The 17,714-nt window shown below is 41.0% G+C and overlaps 2 protein-coding genes, 1 non-coding gene and 2 pseudogenes across 5 annotated transcripts in view, besides 2 other annotated features; 4 read left to right on the top strand and 1 right to left on the bottom strand.

Moving 5' to 3' along the window:
- Positions 1-17,714, top strand: part of ARPIN-AP3S2 (ARPIN-AP3S2 readthrough) — an 82,354-nt gene that overhangs the window by 18,568 nt on the left and 46,072 nt on the right. The window contains exons 6-7 of the mRNA NM_001199058.2: positions 5,245-5,336; positions 5,753-5,864. Coding sequence (NP_001185987.1) covers positions 5,245-5,336; positions 5,753-5,864 — 204 coding nt within the window. The remainder of the gene's footprint in view (positions 1-5,244; positions 5,337-5,752; positions 5,865-17,714) is intronic.
- Positions 211-360: an enhancer, noted in NCBI's record as "active region_10058". NCBI's record gives its function as "activates an Ori minimal core promoter by ATAC-STARR-seq in GM12878 lymphoblastoid cells {active_cell/tissue: GM12878}" and the evidence as "EXISTENCE:reporter gene assay evidence [ECO:0000049][PMID:35858748]".
- AP3S2 (adaptor related protein complex 3 subunit sigma 2) overlaps positions 391-17,714 on the top strand; it is a 63,396-nt gene continuing 46,072 nt past the window's right edge. The window contains exons 1-4 of one of the 3 annotated variants that reach the window (NR_023361.2): positions 391-504; positions 5,245-5,336; positions 5,753-5,864; positions 16,961-17,079. Coding sequence is in view for 1 of the 3 variants with exons in the window: in NM_005829.5 (NP_005820.1) it covers positions 436-504; positions 5,245-5,336; positions 5,753-5,864 (273 nt within the window). In the remaining 2 variants the exon portion in view is untranslated. The remainder of the gene's footprint in view (positions 505-5,244; positions 5,337-5,752; positions 5,865-16,960; positions 17,080-17,714) is intronic. The other 2 variants (NR_037582.2, NM_005829.5) reach the window with 2 other exon arrangements.
- Positions 1,353-2,102: an enhancer, noted in NCBI's record as "H3K4me1 hESC enhancer chr15:90435515-90436264 (GRCh37/hg19 assembly coordinates)". NCBI's record gives its function as "activates a minimal SCP1, AML or CMV promoter by ChIP-STARR-seq in primed H9 embryonic stem cells {active_cell/tissue: H9 hESC(primed)}" and the evidence as "EXISTENCE:reporter gene assay evidence [ECO:0000049][PMID:30033119]".
- Positions 7,794-7,900, top strand: RNU6-1111P (RNA, U6 small nuclear 1111, pseudogene; annotated as a pseudogene).
- On the top strand, positions 10,355-10,454 carry MIR5009 (microRNA 5009). The gene has a single exon (NR_049807.1). It is a non-coding gene; the product is annotated as a microRNA 5009 (primary transcript).
- On the bottom strand, positions 16,979-17,592 carry LOC100631255 (arginine and serine rich coiled-coil 2 pseudogene; annotated as a pseudogene).

Here is a 17,714-nt window from a genome sequence, read left to right as displayed (position 1 = left end):
AACCGACGAACGGCCGAATGACCGGCGTCTCCACTCCGCGGAACGTTCTGCGAGCGCTAAGGGGATGGCGGGAGTGCATGATTTGGAGCGGGCGGTGAGAAAAGCAAGCTCCCGCCGCCTCTCCGTTTTGGCAACCCGGCTGACGGTCGTTTCGGCTTCTGGGGCCAGCCGTCGGTCTGGGCGAGGGACATAGATCCGGATTCGCATCCTGACTGGCCAACCAACGCTGGCCGAGGTGACCACTCTCCTCGGCATCCGCACCTGCCCTCCAAGGCGTCAGAGAGGCCGGACCCTTGGGTGCTAGGGCTCGTGAGCGCCGGGGCCAAGTTTCCGAGTGCCGCTCTCAGCAGCGCACCAACCGGAAGTGATCGTGTTGTGGCGGAAGGAGGAGCTTTCTGGGAGTAGCCGGTGCTGAGAGAACCGTGGCTGGCAAAGATGATTCAGGCGATTCTGGTTTTCAACAACCATGGGAAGCCACGGCTAGTCCGCTTCTACCAGCGTTTCGTGAGTGCGGCCCGGCTTCACCACGCCCCTTCAGGGCGCCCACTATGTCTTCCCTCCTCTTTGGCCTCTCGGCGCCCGGGGGCACCGCTCTTTGGTCACCTGGGGCTCCTGCACCGAGCATGACCCTCGCCCTACTTAAGCATTTAATCTAGGCGCAGGCTGGTGCCAGGCCTTCTGTCTCCCGCCCTACTGCCCCGCTCTCGCTGACCCTTTTCTTGATCCTGGCATTTCTGTGCCATTTTGTGACATTTTCCCGTGGGTCTCTGGGAACGAGATAGAAGCGACAGTGGGGAGTGTGCCTCGATGAGAACTTGAGTGATTGAAGTCACATTCTGTCATCTTTTTGGTTGTTGACCACAGTTTCATGAGGAAGAAATATTAAGTTTCTGAAAGTTTTTGTTATAGCCAGAACTGGAAAAGTTCTTTTTTTTTTGGAATTATTTTGCTTCAGTGTTGGCTGGGACTTTCCAGAGACTAGATACCCTTCACTCTTAGGGTTGAAGAAAATCAGTTTAAAAGTGGAAAAATGATGAGAAATTATAAATGCTGCCGCATAAGGGCTCAATAAGTGATTACGTAAATTTGAATTTTCCCAACACGTTCCTTTGCAAACACATAAACATCAGTATTTGCTTCCTGTCTTCGAAGATTATATTTCTTCATGGCAGGGTTTCAAAATGTTACATAATTGGGGGACTGGTGGAACTGAAGAGGGGAAAGAGCCAGAAAACGTGTTCAGGCTTCAGCTCCACCTTTTCTACTCTTGCGTCTGTTGACAAGTTAATAAACCCTTTTCAGACTTTTATTGTCTTTTGTCAATTAGAAATGAAAAAATAATTTTACTCCTTCATAAGATTTTTAAAGCTAGATTACATTTTATTAAGTAGATTACATCGAGGTAAAAATATGAGTATTCAGGCCGGGCGCGGTGGCTCACGCCTGTAATCCCAGCACTTTGGGAGGCCGAGGCGGGCGGATCACGAGGTCAGGAGATGGAGACCATCCTGGCTAACACGGTGAAACCCCGTCTCTACTAAAAATACAAAAAATTAGCCAAGCGCGGTGGCGGGCACCTCCAAGTCCCAGCTACTCAGGAGGCTGAGGCAGGAGAATGGCGTGAGCCCGGGAGGCGGAGCTTGCAGTGAGCCAAGATAGCGCCACTGCACTCCAGCCTGGGCGAAAGAGCGAGACTCCATCACACACACACACAAAAAAGTATATATATATATGTATGTATATGAGTATTCAGCGTAACTATTTGTATTTGCATTTGTGTGTATGCAAATTTCCCCCCTAGTTTTTTTCTAACAGGGTTACTGAGATAAAACTAACATGCCATACTGTTTACTTATTTATTTTATGTTATTTACTTATAGAGACGGGGTCTTTCTATGTTGCCCAGGCTGGTCTTGAACTCCTGGGCTCAAGCAATCCACCGGACTCAGCCTCCCAAAGTGCTGGGATTACAGGCATGAGCCACTGTGTCCGGCCCCAGTTTACTTATTTAAAGGGGACAATTCAGTGTTTTTTAGCATGTTCACAGAAGCTGTGTAACCATCACCACAATCAATTTTAGATCATTTTCATCACCCCAAAAAGAAACCTCTGCCCATTAGCAGTCACTCCCTATTTCTCCATGACTCTCCCAGCCCCAGAGAGTTTCTTTCCCTCTAAATTTGCCAGTTCCAGAATGGCAAATGGAATTTGCCTATTCCGTTGCCTATAAATGGAATCATAAATAAGTGGTTTTTTGTGTGTCTGCCATGTTTCATGTAGTATAATGTTTTCAAGATTCATCCATGTTGTAGCATGTATCTGATGTTCTTCATTTCTTTTATTGCTGAATAATATTCCATTATATGGATATGCCATATTTTGATTGTCAATTTATAAGTTGATATTTCTGCTTTTTGGCTCTTCTAATTAATGCTGCTATGAACATTCTTGTGCAAGTTTTTATGTGGACTTATGACTTCATTTCTCTTGGTTATATACCTAGGAGTAGAATTGCTGGATCATATGGTAACTGTGGTGAACATTTTGAGAAACTGCAAACTATTTGACAAATTTTCCAAGTGGCTGCACCATTTTACATTTCCATCAGCAATGTATAATGATTCCAGTTTCTTCACATCCCTGCCATTCGTTATTTATTTATTTATTTTTGGTTAAAGACATTTTAGTGGGTGTAAAGTGGTATCTCACTGTGGCTTTTTTTTTTCCCTCCGAGACTGAATCTCACTCTATCTCCCAGGCTGCAGTGGCGTGATCTCGGTTCACTGTAACCTCTGCCTCCCGGGTTCAAGTGATTCTCCTGCCTCAGTCTCCTGAGTAGCTAGGATTACAGGTGCCCACGACCATGCCTGGCTAATTTTTGTATTTTTAGTAGAGATGGGGTTTCGCTGTGTTGGCCAGGCTGGTCTCGAACTCCTGACCACAAGTAATCTGCCCGTCTTGGCCTCCCAAAGTGCAGGGATTACAGGCGTGAGCCACCGCACCCAGCTCATTGTGGTTTTGATTTCAGTTTCCAAAATGACTAATGATGTTGAGCATCTTTTCATGTGCTTATTGCCCATTCGTGTATCTTTGGATCATAGGATTTTTATAAGACCTCATGAGCTCATGGATGAAAGTACCTTGAAAACTACAGAGTACTAAAAAGATATGAGGGGTTATTAAAATCACTGAGGCATGTAAGCAATTGGTAGTTTACCTTTTTATTGAACTAGAAATTAGGTAGCCTCATCATTTCGTACCACTTCCCCACTGCTGCCACTTCCCCCAGAGTCAGATAAAAGGCTTTAGTTCAAAAGATGTCTTTGTCAGTTTTAAAAAGTGCTGATGCTTAGCATGTTTTGTATTTTGCATATATAGAGTTCGTCTCCTACAGCATCCTGTCATCTGTGAGCTTTGTTTGTTCTTTAAATGGAAATGAGGAAAATAGTGATTAATTTACTCAAATTTGTAGTGACCAATGATTAGCAAGTTTTCATTCAGTCAGTAAATACTGTGAGCCATTCCATACCCATGTGAGTCAAAGTAATTTCCCCACAATTACGTTTTCCCTTTTTTCCCCTCTCTGTTTCTTTTAAATAACCATTTCAAAGCTAAATTCAGGGCTATAGAAAGAAAGGGATTAAAATTACTTGAACCTATTTTCTAACTCTTGGGGCAAGTCCAATTTGAAGGTTTTCTTATGATTCGTTACTCAAAGTGTGGTCCCCAGACCAGCAGAAATGTTATTGCCTGGGTGCTTACTAGACTTGCATCTCAGGACTTAACCTATACCTGCTAAATCCGAATCTGTATTTTAACAGCATTCACAGCTGATTCATTGCAAATGAAGATTTGAGAAGCAATGCTCTAGAGCTTTAAGTTATTATCTGTCTTAATTGCTGGTTTCTCCCTCTCTTACCCTTTTAACCATACTTCTTCTGAAACTCATATGTATAATTAGAAATCAAAGGTGAGTTATCAAAGTGATTTCATCAGAGTTGAGCTTTCTTATGCACGTAGTAAGTGAAAAAATAAGGCCAGACATGGTGGCTCACACCTGTAATCCCAGCACTTTGGGAGGCCAAAGCAGGTGGATCACTTGAGGTCAGGAGTTCAAGACCAGCCTGACCAACATGGTGAAACCCCATCTCTACTATAAATACAAAAATTAGCCGGGCATGGTGGCACATACCTGTAATCTCAGCCACTGGGGAGGCTGAGGCAGGAGAATCGCTTGAACCCGGAGGTGGAGGTTGCAATGAGCTGTGATCACACCACTGCCTGGGCAACAGAACAAGACTCTGTCTAAAAATAATAATAATACATTTTATTTGTAACTGTTCAAAATTTTAATCTGTAATCTATTTTTCTCAATAATACTTTGTTGGTGAGTAACACAGCATCTTATATGTAGTATCTATATTACCAGTACAAAAGATGGCAGCTGTATTTGCCAATATAACTTTTTAAAACATTTACATGATTACTTCTTGACCTTTTTTTTTTTTTTTTTTTTTTTTTGAGATGGAGTCTCACTCTGTCGCCCATGCTGGAGTGCAGTGGCGTGATCTCGGCTCACTGTAACCTCCGCTTCCTGGGTTCAAGCAGTTCTCCTGCCTCAGCCTCCCGAGTAGCTGGGATTACAGGCATGCGCCACCACGCCCAGCTAATTGTTTTTTTGTTTTATTTTGTTTTGTTTTTTTTTGTATTTTTAGTAGAGATGGGGTTTCACCATATTGGTCAGGCTGGTCTCGAACTCCTGACCTTGTGATCTGCCTCCTAAAGTGCTGGAATTTCAGGCGTGAGCCACTGTGCCTGGCCCACATCTTGACCTTCTTAAAATGTTAGACCTGTTGAGATTTATTATATCTTTGTCATAGATGTTTTCCAGGGGAAGACAAAATATTTCAGGATCAGGCCTTCCAGTTATTCTCTGACTTTGTATGAGAGTTTATCAATGTTCCTTTTCTTGTTTAAATATCAGCTTACCTATAGGACAGTAATGGTTAGTGACTTAGATATTTAGGTAAATATACCCTATCTTAATTCCTGTATCAGAGCATTGTCACCCATCTTTCATAGATTCACTCCTATTTTTTCTCATCATTTTTATCATTTCTAGAAACAAGTACTAAATGTTTAGATGTTCCCAGCTTAGAAACACTTCTTCCCTTGTCCATCCCCATGGATGGGATGTAGTTTTTCAGGCTTGCCCACTGATTCACTTATCTTTTTGTTTCATAGCCAGAAGAAATTCAACAGCAGATTGTTCGAGAGACTTTCCATCTAGTCCTCAAGCGGGATGACAACATCTGTAACTTCTTGGAGGGTGGAAGGTAAACTGTCAGCTTCATTTTTCTCCCCATATATCCACTTGTGAGTGGCCTTCATTATTGCATCTTCTGACAGTACTCAAGTGTCAGGTGGGTACTTGATGCAACTTTAGCTGGTCTCACCATGATCTGCTCAGGGAGAGACACAATTCTCTTTGGGGCGCAGTTCAATTATTGTGCTTCTGATATTGCTCATTTAGATGATTGATCCCCGGGAGGATAGGCAGGAGAAGAGGTGAGGTAAGGTGGCTTTAGGTACCTCTGCCAAACTTGGTTGCCATTCACCTAGTAAGAATGGCCTGCTTCTAGCGTTTGGCCTTCTCCTTTCCAGTGGGTCCTTTCTCATTCTTTGGCACAAGGTTTCTTTTTGATGTGTTTAATTAAGCTGTGGGCATTTAAATGTTTCCCATCTTCTGCAGTTTGATTGGTGGCTCTGACTACAAACTGATCTACCGGCACTATGCTACCCTCTACTTTGTATTTTGTGTGGATTCCTCAGAGAGTGAACTTGGAATCTTGGACCTCATCCAGGTATGTGTAGTCAGCTAATGATGGCAGCAGCTTTAGAGAGTTTCCACGGGATTTTTGAGTAACCAGCCTGTAGAACCTTGTGTCCATCTCCTTATTGATACTAGTAAAAGTTGCCAGATGTCCACCAGATGGTGCTCTGGGAGAGCTCCTGAGAAACCCTCAGCACTTTTAGATTTATTGGTTTCTATCTAGCCCTTGCACTGCCCTTGGTTTTCATTTACAAATTTATACTTTGGCCGGGTGTGGTGGCCCACAGTCTGCTTACAGATTGTCTTTATTACCTTCATGAAAACTGAGATGTGTAGGGACCCTAGCTTGGGAACTATTTATTTAGCATTATTTCATCGTTTTATATGTGAGATTCTAGATGAGCTTCTTTTAAGTACTTGAATAAGCCCATAGGTAGAAAGCACTCAAATAGATGCTACATTGAAAACTTAAGTAACAACAATTGTGGAAAAGAAAATTCTATAGCTATAAAATGTAAACTTTAAATGCTTACAACAGGCCAGACATGTACATTTTACAGCTATAGAATTTTCTTTTCCACCTATGGGCTTATAGGCTCATGCCTATAATCCCAGCACTTTGGGAGGCCAAGGCGGGCGGATCACTTGAGGTCAGGATTTTGAGACCAACCTGGCCAATGTGGTGAAAACCCATCTCTACTAAAAATACAAAAATTATCCAGGCATGGTGGTGTGCACCTGCAGTCCCAGCTACTCAGGTGGCTGAAGCAGGAGAATTATTTGAACCTGGGATGTGGAGGTTGCAGTGAGCCGAGATCATGCCACTGCACTCCAGCCTGGGCAACAGAGTGAGACTCCGTCTCAAAAAAATAATAAATTAAAAATAAATAGGCCGGGTGCGGTGGCTCATGCCTGTAATCTCAGCATTTTGGGAGGCCGAGGCAGATGGATCAAGAGTTCAAGACCAGCCTGACCAATGTGGTGAAACCCGGTCTCTACTAAAAATACAAGAATTAGCCGGGCGTAGTGGCACGTGCCAGTAATCCCAGCTACTCGGGAGGCTGGGGCAGGAGACTTGCTTGAACCCGGGAGGCAGAGGTTGCAGTGAGCCGAGATCGCACCACTGCACTCCAGCCTGGGTGACAGGGCGAGACTCCGTCTCAAAAAAAAAATAATAATAAAAATAAATACATAAATAAATGCTTAGAACAAAATTTGTTTTCTTAAGATAAAAGTTTAAAAGCTAAATATATCTTGGAACAAATAAATTGAAATTTTGAATATATAGTTTTGTAGGATAATTAAAAATTTCATACGTCGTATTCACTTATACATAAAAATATAAATAAAGATGAACCCATCTAAAACAGATGCATCTCGGAGATAATTTTTAAATACTTTCTTAAAACCTGAGTCAGATTGGACATTGATAATCAGCATAATAGAAAGAGCTCAAGGCGGGGTGCAGTGGCTCACACCTGTAATCCCAGCACTTTGGGAGGCCAAGGTGGGTGGATCACTTGAGGCCAGGAATTTGAGACCAACGTGGTCAGCATGGTAAAACCATGTCTCTACTAAAAATACAAAAAATTAGCTGGGCCTGGTGGCATATGCCTGTACTCCCAGCTACTTGGGAGGTTGAGGTGGGAGAATCGCATGAACCCAGGAGGCGGAGGTTGCAGTGAGCCAAGATTGTGCCACTCCACTCCAGCCTGGGCAACAGAGTGAGACCCTGTCTCAAAAAAAGAAAAAAAGCTCAAGATCTAGCATCAGAAAATCTGGGTTTGGGTCATGAATCTACCATCTGAAAAGTGATATTAGGTTGTAGAATTCAAATGTGAGAATGTGCTTTATAGTACTGTTAACTGTATGTAGCAGGCTATAGAAATGTGTACATAATACGAGTTTATTTGAAAATTAAGGAAATATAGTGATAATGTATTTTAAAAATTGGGATGGAGTGCTTGCCTCAGCAGCATATATTCTAAAAGTGTACCAGTGCAGAAAAGATTAGCATTGCCACTATGCAAGGATGACATGCAAATTGGTGAAGCATTCCATATTATAAAAAATAAAGAAAATTTTTTAAAAGAGAAAAAAAAATTGGGCCACAGTTATTAGAGAAAATGGACCTTGGAGATTTGTATTAACAATACAAAAAGACTAACTTTATAACTTTTTTTACTTTTTTATTTATTTATTTTTTTTGAGATGGAGTCTTGCTCTGTTGCCAGTCTAGAGTGCAGTGGCACGATCTCAGCTCACCACAACCTCCGACTCCCTGGTTCAAGCGATTCTCCTGCCTTACTCAGCCTCTCGAGTAGCTGGGATTACAGGCACATGCCCAGCTAATTTTTGTAGTTTTAGTAGCGACAGGGTTTCACCATGTTGGCCAAGATGGTCTCGATATCCTGACCTTGTGATCCGCCCGCCTCGGCCTCCCAAAGTGCTGGGATTACAGGTGTGAACCACTGCGCCCGGCCTCTAACTTTATAATTTAATAGACACTTATTAAATATTTAGTGTACATTGTACATTGGATTTGGTAAGATCAGATAAGTAAAATGTAAAAATAATAGGAACTAAAAAGTTTGATTTTTTTTTTTTTTTTTTTTTTGAGACAAGGTCTTGCTCTCAAACTGTAGTGCAGTAGTGTGATCACAGCTCACTGCAGCCTCCATCTCCCAGGCTCAACCCATCCTCCTACCTCAGTCTCCTGAGTAATGGGGCCTACAGGCATGCGTCACCACATCTGGCTAATTTTTTGAATTTTTTAGAGATGAAGTCTCACCATGTTGTCCAGGCTGGTCTCGAACATCTCAGCTCAGGCAGTCTTCCCACTTTGGCCTCCCAAATTGCTGGGATTACAGGTGTGAACCACTGGACCCATCTGATCTTTGAAAAGACAATAAAAATTAATAAATAGTTGGCCTAATTGATATAAAGAAGATAGAAGTCAGAAATAGAAAACATTGTTTTAAAGGGATGATATATACATAGTTATACTACCAATATATTTGAAATAGCCGACTACAAAAATAACTGCTCTGGCCTGGGGCAGTGGCACATGCCTGTAATCCTAGCACTTTGGGAGGCCAAGGAGGGTGGATCACTTGAGACCAGGAGTTTGAGACCAGCCTGACCAACATGGTGAAACTTCGTCTCTACTAAAAATAGAAAAATTAGCTGGGCATGGTGGCACATGCCTGTAATCCCAGCTGCTTGGCTGTTTGGGTAGCCAAGGCATGAGAATCACCTGAACCTGGGAGGCAGAGGTTGCAGTGAGCTGAGATCACACCATTACACTCCAGCCTGGGCAATAGAGCGAGACTCTATCTCAAAAAAAAAAACAAGAACAAAAAACTGCCCAAATGAGGTCAACATAAAGGCACTGAAATAATATTAGGATGAAATAATAGATGTTAAAAAAAGAACTGACTCCCTAATGGGGTCACAGTAGAATTTTTTAAAGTTGAAGTACATTAAAACCTGGATGTTACATTAAGTTATTTTTTAAAACTTAGAACAAGGAATCCTACTACCTAAGCGCATTTTATGGAATAAATTGGTTATCATCCAAAAACCTGACTCTAAAAAGGAAGATGGGCCAGGCACAGCGGCTCACGCCTGTGATCCCAGCACTTTGGGGGCCGAGGCAGGAGGATCACGAGGTCAGGAGTTCGAGACCAGCCAGGCCAATATGGTGAAACCTTGTCTCTACTAAAAATACAAAAAAAATTAGCTGGGTGTGGTGGCATGCGCCTGTAGTCCCAGCTACACGGGAGGCTGAGGCAGAAGAATCGCTTGAGCTGGGAGGCGGAGGTTGCAGTGAGCCGAGATTGCGCCACTGCACTCCAGCCTGGGTGATAGAGTGAGACTCTATCTCAAAAAAAAAAAAAAAGGGGAAGATGTTCGTCAAATATTGCGTATTAGTACTGGTACAAAATTACTTACTAAGTAAAATCTTAGCCGACAATCAGTTGAACCAAGGGATTGTGAGACCTGCCTTTTTTTTCTTTTTGACTCTGCCATTAACAAGCAGTGTGACCTTAAACAAATCATCTAGGCTTTATTGGCCTTAAGGGTTTTTGTTTGTTTTGCATTTTGTCTCTTCTGTGTGTTGAGTGGTTTTTTTTTAATCTACAAAGATACTAGATATTCTTTTCTAGCCCTAAAATTATTTCTTTAGCAGGAAAACTGCATACTATTAAATAGAAGAATTATACATTGTGTCCAAATAGTATTTATCCCAAGAATGCAAGTCAGTATAACAAAGAAAAATTAATAGTCTATTATAGCAGTAAGAAAAACTAATATAATAAAAATTAGTAGTTGCTGAGAGGAGCGATTATACAAATTATATTAAATACACTCAAACTGGAATAAGAAGCATTTTTGATTAAAAGTACACATTTATTAATGTAACTGTTTACTTTCTGAAGAAATGAATATAGTTATGTGGTTCAGAATTCAGAGGCACACTATGAGTATACAGGTTGAATATCCCTTTGAAATGTTTGGGACCAGAAGTGTTTTGGATTTTGGACTTTTTCAGATTTGGGGATATTTGCATTATACTTATCCTAAATCTGAAAGTCCAAAACCTGAAATGACCAATAAGCATTTCCTTTGAGCATCATGTTGGCACTCAAAAATTTTGGATTTTGCAGTGTTTTGGATTTCAGGTTTTTGGATTTTAAGTGTTCAACCTGTATAGTGAAAAATATCCTTCTTCCCCTTTCCCCTTATCACCTAGTTTACTTTCCTTGAAGCAATCAATTTTAGTTTCAAAACCAAGAGCCAAGAACCAGAGCCAATGTTATCTCAAGGGTGAAATCTGTAGGCATTTATGAATGCTCTTGTTGGGTGTTTCGTCCAGGTGCAGTGGCTCATACCTATAGTCCCAACCCTTTGGGAGCCTGAGGCAGGAGGATCACTTGAGCTCAGGAGTTCAAGACCAGCCTGGGCAACATAGTGAGACCTAGTCTCTATAAAAAATCAGGTGGTGTGCCCCTGTGGTCCCAGCTACTCATGTGGCTAAAGCAGGAGGACTGCTTGAGCCCAAGGGGTTGAGGTTTCAGTGAGCCATATTCATGCCACTACACTCCAGCTTGAGTGACAGAGCGAGATTCTGTCTCAAAAAAAAAAAAGGAGTATCTTTTATTGTTTACTCTAATTTTAACAAACATTTGTAGTGAGTGATACAAAAACAAATGAAGAAGTGACATAGTAAAGAAAGAAAGAGAGGTAAGTTATCAATGTAAGGTGGCCGGATTATGGACATAGAAAATATTTTTAAAGAATTATAAGTAAGGAAATGATATGAGCAAAATGACAGAATATGAGATAAAGCCAACAAAATTAAATTTCCTATTTCTGAGAAAACAGCTAGAAAATTCATAATTAAAGAAGTCTCATTTACAGTAATAATAAAGGATAGTTAGTGCTTGGGAATTAACTTGGTATGGAATACTTGACATTGATTCCAATAAAATTATAAAATCTTAAAGAAAAAACAAAGGAATAGTTGGAACAAATGGAGCTACAAACTCTCCCGTTGTTGGGAAGAGTCAAGCAAAGATGACAGTAGTCCCAAAGGTGGTGAGCAATACATCAAATGGAAAACCAAGTATAATTCCGTCAGGAGAGTTTATAGAACTCAGTAAAGGCAAAATTTATCAGGGAAAAGGAGTGGCCAAGAAATGCAGAAGTATATTTCTAGGGAAAAAGGACAGTGATGGGAGATTTGCTTTACTAGTTTTCAGAATGTATAATAGTTACAGATGAATTGATTATCTAGAAAATCCAAATCAGTTGGAAACAATTGGAACTAATAATAGAGTTCTGTAAGGTGACTAAATACAAGTTTAACATATGGAAATTAGTAGCTTTTGGCCAAGCACAGTGGGTCACGCCGGTAATCCCAGTCCTTTGGGAGGCCGAGGCGGGCAGATCACTTGAGGTCAGGAGACTTTGAGACCAGCCTAGCCAACATGGAGAAACCCCGTCTCTACTAAAAATACAAAAAATTAGCCGAGTGTGGTGGCACATGCCTGTAATCGTAGCTACTCAGGAGGCTGAGGTAGGAGAACCTCTTGAACCCAGGAGGCGGGGGTTGTGGTGGGCTGAAATTGTACTCTGGCCCGGGCAACAAGAGCGAAACTCCGTCTCAAAAAAAAAAAAAAGAGTAGGTCAAAGCAGAACAGGGGGGTAAAATGAGTGTTCTCAGCTGATTCAGGTAGCAGAGCACCTAGGATAACAGACACTGGATACTTTGTTTCTTTTTTTAATTAATATGAATAAAACTACTCTAAGTCTTTATGCAAACGGTTGTGCCTATTCTGCTAAAAACAGAATGCCTGGATCAAAGGGAATTAATATTTCTAATCATAATGCATGTTGCTAGATAGATATTTAGAAAGAGTATGTTAGCCAGGCACGGTGGCTCACACCTGTAACCCCAGCACTTTGGGAGGCCGAGGCGGGCGGATCACCTGAGGTCAGGAGTTCAAGACCAGCCTGGCTAACATGGTGAAACCCTGTCTCTACTAAAAATCCAAAAAGTTAGCCGGGCGTGGTGGTATGCACCTGTAATCCCAGCTACTTGGGGGGTTGAGGCAGGAGAATTGCTTGAACCCGGGAGGTGGAGGTTGCAGTAAGCTGAGATCGTGCCATTGCGCTCCAGCCTGGGCGACAACAGTGAGACTCCATCTCAAAAAAAAAAAAAATGAAGAGTATGTTAATTTATAATGCCTCTAGTACTATATAAGTTTGTTTCCTTGTAACTCCAGTACTGAAATGTGTCATTTTAAATTTCTACCCAGGTAGAGGTACCTCACACATTTGAATTTTTATTAATCATGCTTCCTTTTTCCACGTGTGGGTTTATAATTTTGTTTTCCATGTCAGCCTTCTATAATATAATTGAACCACTTGTCCAGTGAAATCTAGATCCTGGCTTATAATGTCATATTTTGTATATTCTAAGGTGCGCATTTTATCACACTTCAATAACTCTAAAATCTGGATGTGTGTTGTAGTGGGTGACATCTTAACAATTATAATTGGCAGCATTTTTTTTCTTTGTTAGATAAAATAATGGTTTGCCTTATCATCAACAAATAAGTAAATCTGCGTATTTTGAGTTTATTTTAAAACTTATTTAACTAATTATTGTCTAACCTATTATATTAAGTGTAAATAATCCATTTTTACCTCCCCTTGTTGAAGAAACTCTAATGTTGTATACTGTATTAAGTTCAGAGTGAAACCCAAGCCCCCTATTACAGCCTGTAAGGCCCAACATGGTCCGGCTCCTTTGCCTCTCTCTCCCCTCACCGTATACACGCTCATCTTCACTATGCTCTAGGCTTCTTGCTGTTCTTCAAACACAAGTACATTTTTGTGTCTGGGCCTTTATACTTGTTCTGTCCCCTGGAATACTCTCATCTAGGTTCCTTCACTTCAGCTCTTTCAATGACTGACTTTTACCATTTATGTCTCAGCTCGAATTTTAATCCTTGGACAAACTTTCTTAGCACTCTATCTGAAGTAACCCCTGTCACATCATCCTGTTTACTTCCTTCAGGGCACTTAGGACAATAGAAAATATCTTGTTTCATTTGCCTCCTTGTTCTTCCCACACCCAGAATATAAACTGGATAAGAACATGACTTGTTGACTGTGGTGTCAACAATGGTATGTTCCTAGCATGTAGTCATCACACCTTTAACAATGGTTGAATAAACATTTAATACATAATTGGATTTAGTTTTTACCCTTCATTTCTTCATTTTATTCTACTGAGTTAACTGAGTTACATTTTTCTTTCTGCATTACTTTCATGTTGTTTTATTTATTGTTTCTTTTTTTTTTTTTGAGACGGAGTCTTGCTCTGTTGCCCAGGCTGGAGTGCGGTGGCGCAATCTCGGCTCACTGCAACCTCCGCCTCCTGGGTTCAAGCGATTCTCCTGCTTCAGCCTCCTGAATAGGTGGGACTATAGGCGCCCACCACCGCACCTGGCTAATTTTTGTATTTTTAGTAGAGTCGGGGGTTTCACCATGTTGACCAGGCTGGTCTCAAACTCCTGACCTCGGCCTCCCAAAGTGTTGGGATTACAGGCGTGAGCCACTGCACCTGGCTATTTATTGTTTCAATATAGTTTCACATACCTAGTAAGACTAGTTATTTCCCCTTTGTGGCAGTTGTTTTTCAGTACGTTCTCTGATATTTATAACTATTTGTTCATCCATATGTATTCTTGAATAATTTGTAAAGGTCCCAAAAAGTCCCTGTTGGATTATAATTATAATTAGAAGTGAATTAACAGTTAGCATTTCCCTCTTGTTTATTCATTTCTTCTTTTGAATCTTACATTAAAGTTTCTTTTATTTATTTTTTATTTTTTGGAGACAGAGTCTCACTTCGTCACCCAGACTCCAGTGAAGTCTAGATCCTGGCTTATAATATCATATTTTATATATCCTAAGATGCACATTTTATCACATTCTAATAACTCTAAAATCTGAGATCATGCCACTGCACACTGGGCAACAAGAGTGAGACTCCATCTCAAAAAAAAAAAAAAAATGAAGAGTATGTTAATTTATAATGCCTCCAGTACTATGTAAGTTTGTTATATAATTTGGAGTCTCACTCTTGTCGCCCAGAGTGCGGTGGCGTGATCTCAGCTCACTGCAACCTAACTTTGAGGTTAGGAGTTCAAGACCAGCCTGGCCAACATGGTGAAACTGTATCTCCACTAAAAATGCAAAAAAATTAGCCAGGCGTGGTGACAGGTGCCTGTAGTCCCAGCTACTGAGGAGGCTGAGGCAGGAAAATCACTTGAACCCAGGAGGTGGAGGTTGCAAAGAGCCGAGATTGTGCCACTGCACTCCAGGCTGGGTGACAAAGTGAGACCCCAAAAAATAAAAATTAATAAAAATTAAAAGTAATCATACTCTATATATAGTTCTAAAACTTTCTTTTTCATCATTTAAGTTCTGGAGCTTTTTCCACATGCAGTTTTTTTTGACGGTGTGTGATTTTCCATAATATGGATGTATCATCATCTTTGATTCATCATGCTACTTGTGGGCATCTATGTTTTTCCCAATTTCTTGCTATTGTAAAGGATGCTGCAATGACATCCTTCCACGTGCATCTATATGCACATATGTTAATTCCCATAGTACAGATTTCTCAATTGGAATTGCTGCTTTAATAAGGGCATGTGTTTTTTAAATGGATAGATACTGCTGAATTGCCTCCAAACAAAGGCTTTGCCTTTGATACTTGTACTAATGGAATGTAATAAGAATGTATCTGTTTACCCATAACCTCACTGACTTTTGAATATTAAGAATATTTTCACACTGGGTGCAATGGCTCACGCCTGTAATACCAATACTTTGGGAGGCCAAAGCAGGAGGATCGCTTAAGCCCTGGAGTTTGAGACCTTCCTGGGCAGCATAGTGAGACTTTGTCTCTACGAAAAAATTAGCCTGGCTGGGTGCGGCGGCCCACGCCCGTAATCCCAACGCTTTGGGAGGCTGAGGCAGGCAGATCACTTGAGGTCAGGAGTTGGAGCAGCCTGGCTAACATGGTGAAACCTCGTCTCTACTAAAAGTACAAAAATTAGCTGGGCCATTGTGCGGGACGTCTGTAATCCCAGCTGCTCAGGAGGCTGAGGCGGGAGAATCACTTGAACCTGGGAGGCGGAGGTTGCAGCGAGCCGAGATCATGCCACTGCACTCCAGCCTGGGTGACAGAGCGAGAGACCCTGTATCAAAACAAACAAAGAAACAGCAACAACAACAAAAATTAGCCTCGGGTGGTAGCATGCATCTGTGATTCTCAGCTACTTGGGAGGCTGAGGTTGAAGGATTGCTTGAGCCCAGGAGATCAGGGCTGCAGTGAGCTATGATTATACCACTGCACTCCAGCCTGCATGACAGACCAAGACCTTGTCTCAAAAATAAGATAAAAATAAGAATATTTTCAAATGTTTGCCAATCTGATGGGTGAAAAAATGCAAATTCATTGTTTTCACTAGAGTTTCCCTGAATAGTGGTGAGGCTGCGTATCTTTGGTATTTGGAAATGTCTACGATATTTGTCCACTTTTCAAAAGGCTCATTTGTTTTGTTTGTTTGTAAGTTAGATTTTTTCCTAATTGTATGCATATTCTTTTTTTGTTATATTTATTGCAAATATTTTCTCCTACTCCATTGGTCTTTTTGCTTTATGTAGGTACATCTGGAAGTTGTTTTCTTCATAGCTCCCAAGGTATGAAAATATTCTCCTACAGTTTTGCTGTTGTTTTTTTTTTCCTTTGGAGAAAACCATTTTTATTATCATCACCACCCAGCTTATTTGTGCTGGATTATGTACCAGTGGCAAGATCTTCTAACGAACATCTGCATAACATTTATTTTATGTTTTAAAAGATGAAAATAACTGTACAAGGTTAAGTACAAAAGTACACAAGATAACAGACACAAAAAAATGCATGTATGAGATTTCATTCTACCTACAGCACTTTATGTTCAAAAAGTAGAATTCACGAACCAAAAAATATTGTCCTTCTATAGTCCTGTCAGGTTTAGTGAAAGCGAGTCTAACATGATTACAACACCTATATCACTGATCTGATATTTATGAAAAAAATCTTATTTTTCAATAAATTAAAGCCAATGCAAATGGGAATAGCATTTCAGTTTTTTGGTGTTTTTCTTTTTTTTAATTTTTTTTATTTTGAGACAGAGTCTCACTCTGTTGCCCAGACTGGAGTACAGTGGCATGATCTTGGTTCACCGTGACCTCCACCTCTCAGGTTCAAGCAATTCTTGTGCCTCAGCCACCTGAGTAGCTGGGGGTTTTCACCATGTTGCTCAGGCTGGTCTTAAACTCCTGGCCTCAAGTGATCCACCTGCCTCGCCCTCCCAAAGTGCTGGGATTACAGGCATGAGCCACCGCGCCCGGCCATGTTTCAGGTTTATAAAATAGAGATATGAACATGGATGGTGGTGATGGTTGCACATTATGAACGTTATCGAATGCTACTGAATTGTACACTTAAAAAATGGCTATGATGGTAAATTTTATGTTACGTGTATTTTACCACAGCTTAAAAAAAGAGAGAGGAAGAAAAGCCAGTGCAACACCCTACAAACTGGAACACTAGCTCTTTGGGAACAAGGACCTGACATCAGAACAAGAAGGCTATAAGTTCCCAAACCTTAAAAGTATGATCTTTTTCAAACTGCATCCATTTCTCACGTTGAAGATGTGAAACCCAATCCCGTTCCTCTTTATGTGTGGGTCTGTGATCTTGCCTTTTCATACTGAGCATCTAAATTTCTAAATACAGTACTTCCTATTGCTTCAAAGTCTTCTAACTTTCTTCATCAAGTGAGCTACATCTAGCTTCATCTTCACTCTTAATACCCACTAATTTCCATATATATGACATTTTGGTCCTTGTTTCCCAAAGTCATAGTTCAGCAGACGGGGAGTTTGCCCAGTTTTTCTTGCCTTGACTTTTTTCCTCTTGTTCAGCAAATTTCACTGGATTTCCAGCTGCTGTGTCATAATCCCTAGGTACAGCTGTTCTGTCTCTGCCAAAGCTGTTGCTTGCAGGGCTCCCATTTGAGCTGCCATAGCTATCTGAGTTACTGGCATTCCTGATGCCAACAGGGCAGCAACATTGAGAACAAAATCTCTAGTAACTGGAGCTATTTCTTGTTTTTGTTTTTCAATGATTTCTTTTTCTTTTAAAAAATTTTTTCCCAACACCCATCCCAACTATTTCTTTTTCTTGCTGTTCTTGTAATTTCTTTGCCTAGTCCATCCTCCCAGCTAAAGCTTCTTATGCATCCTT

The sequence above is a fragment of the Homo sapiens genome, chromosome 15 (assembly GCF_000001405.40).
Source record: "Homo sapiens chromosome 15, GRCh38.p14 Primary Assembly".
Lineage (NCBI taxonomy): Eukaryota > Metazoa > Chordata > Mammalia > Primates > Hominidae > Homo > Homo sapiens.
This window is presented reverse-complemented; position numbering and strand designations above follow the sequence as displayed.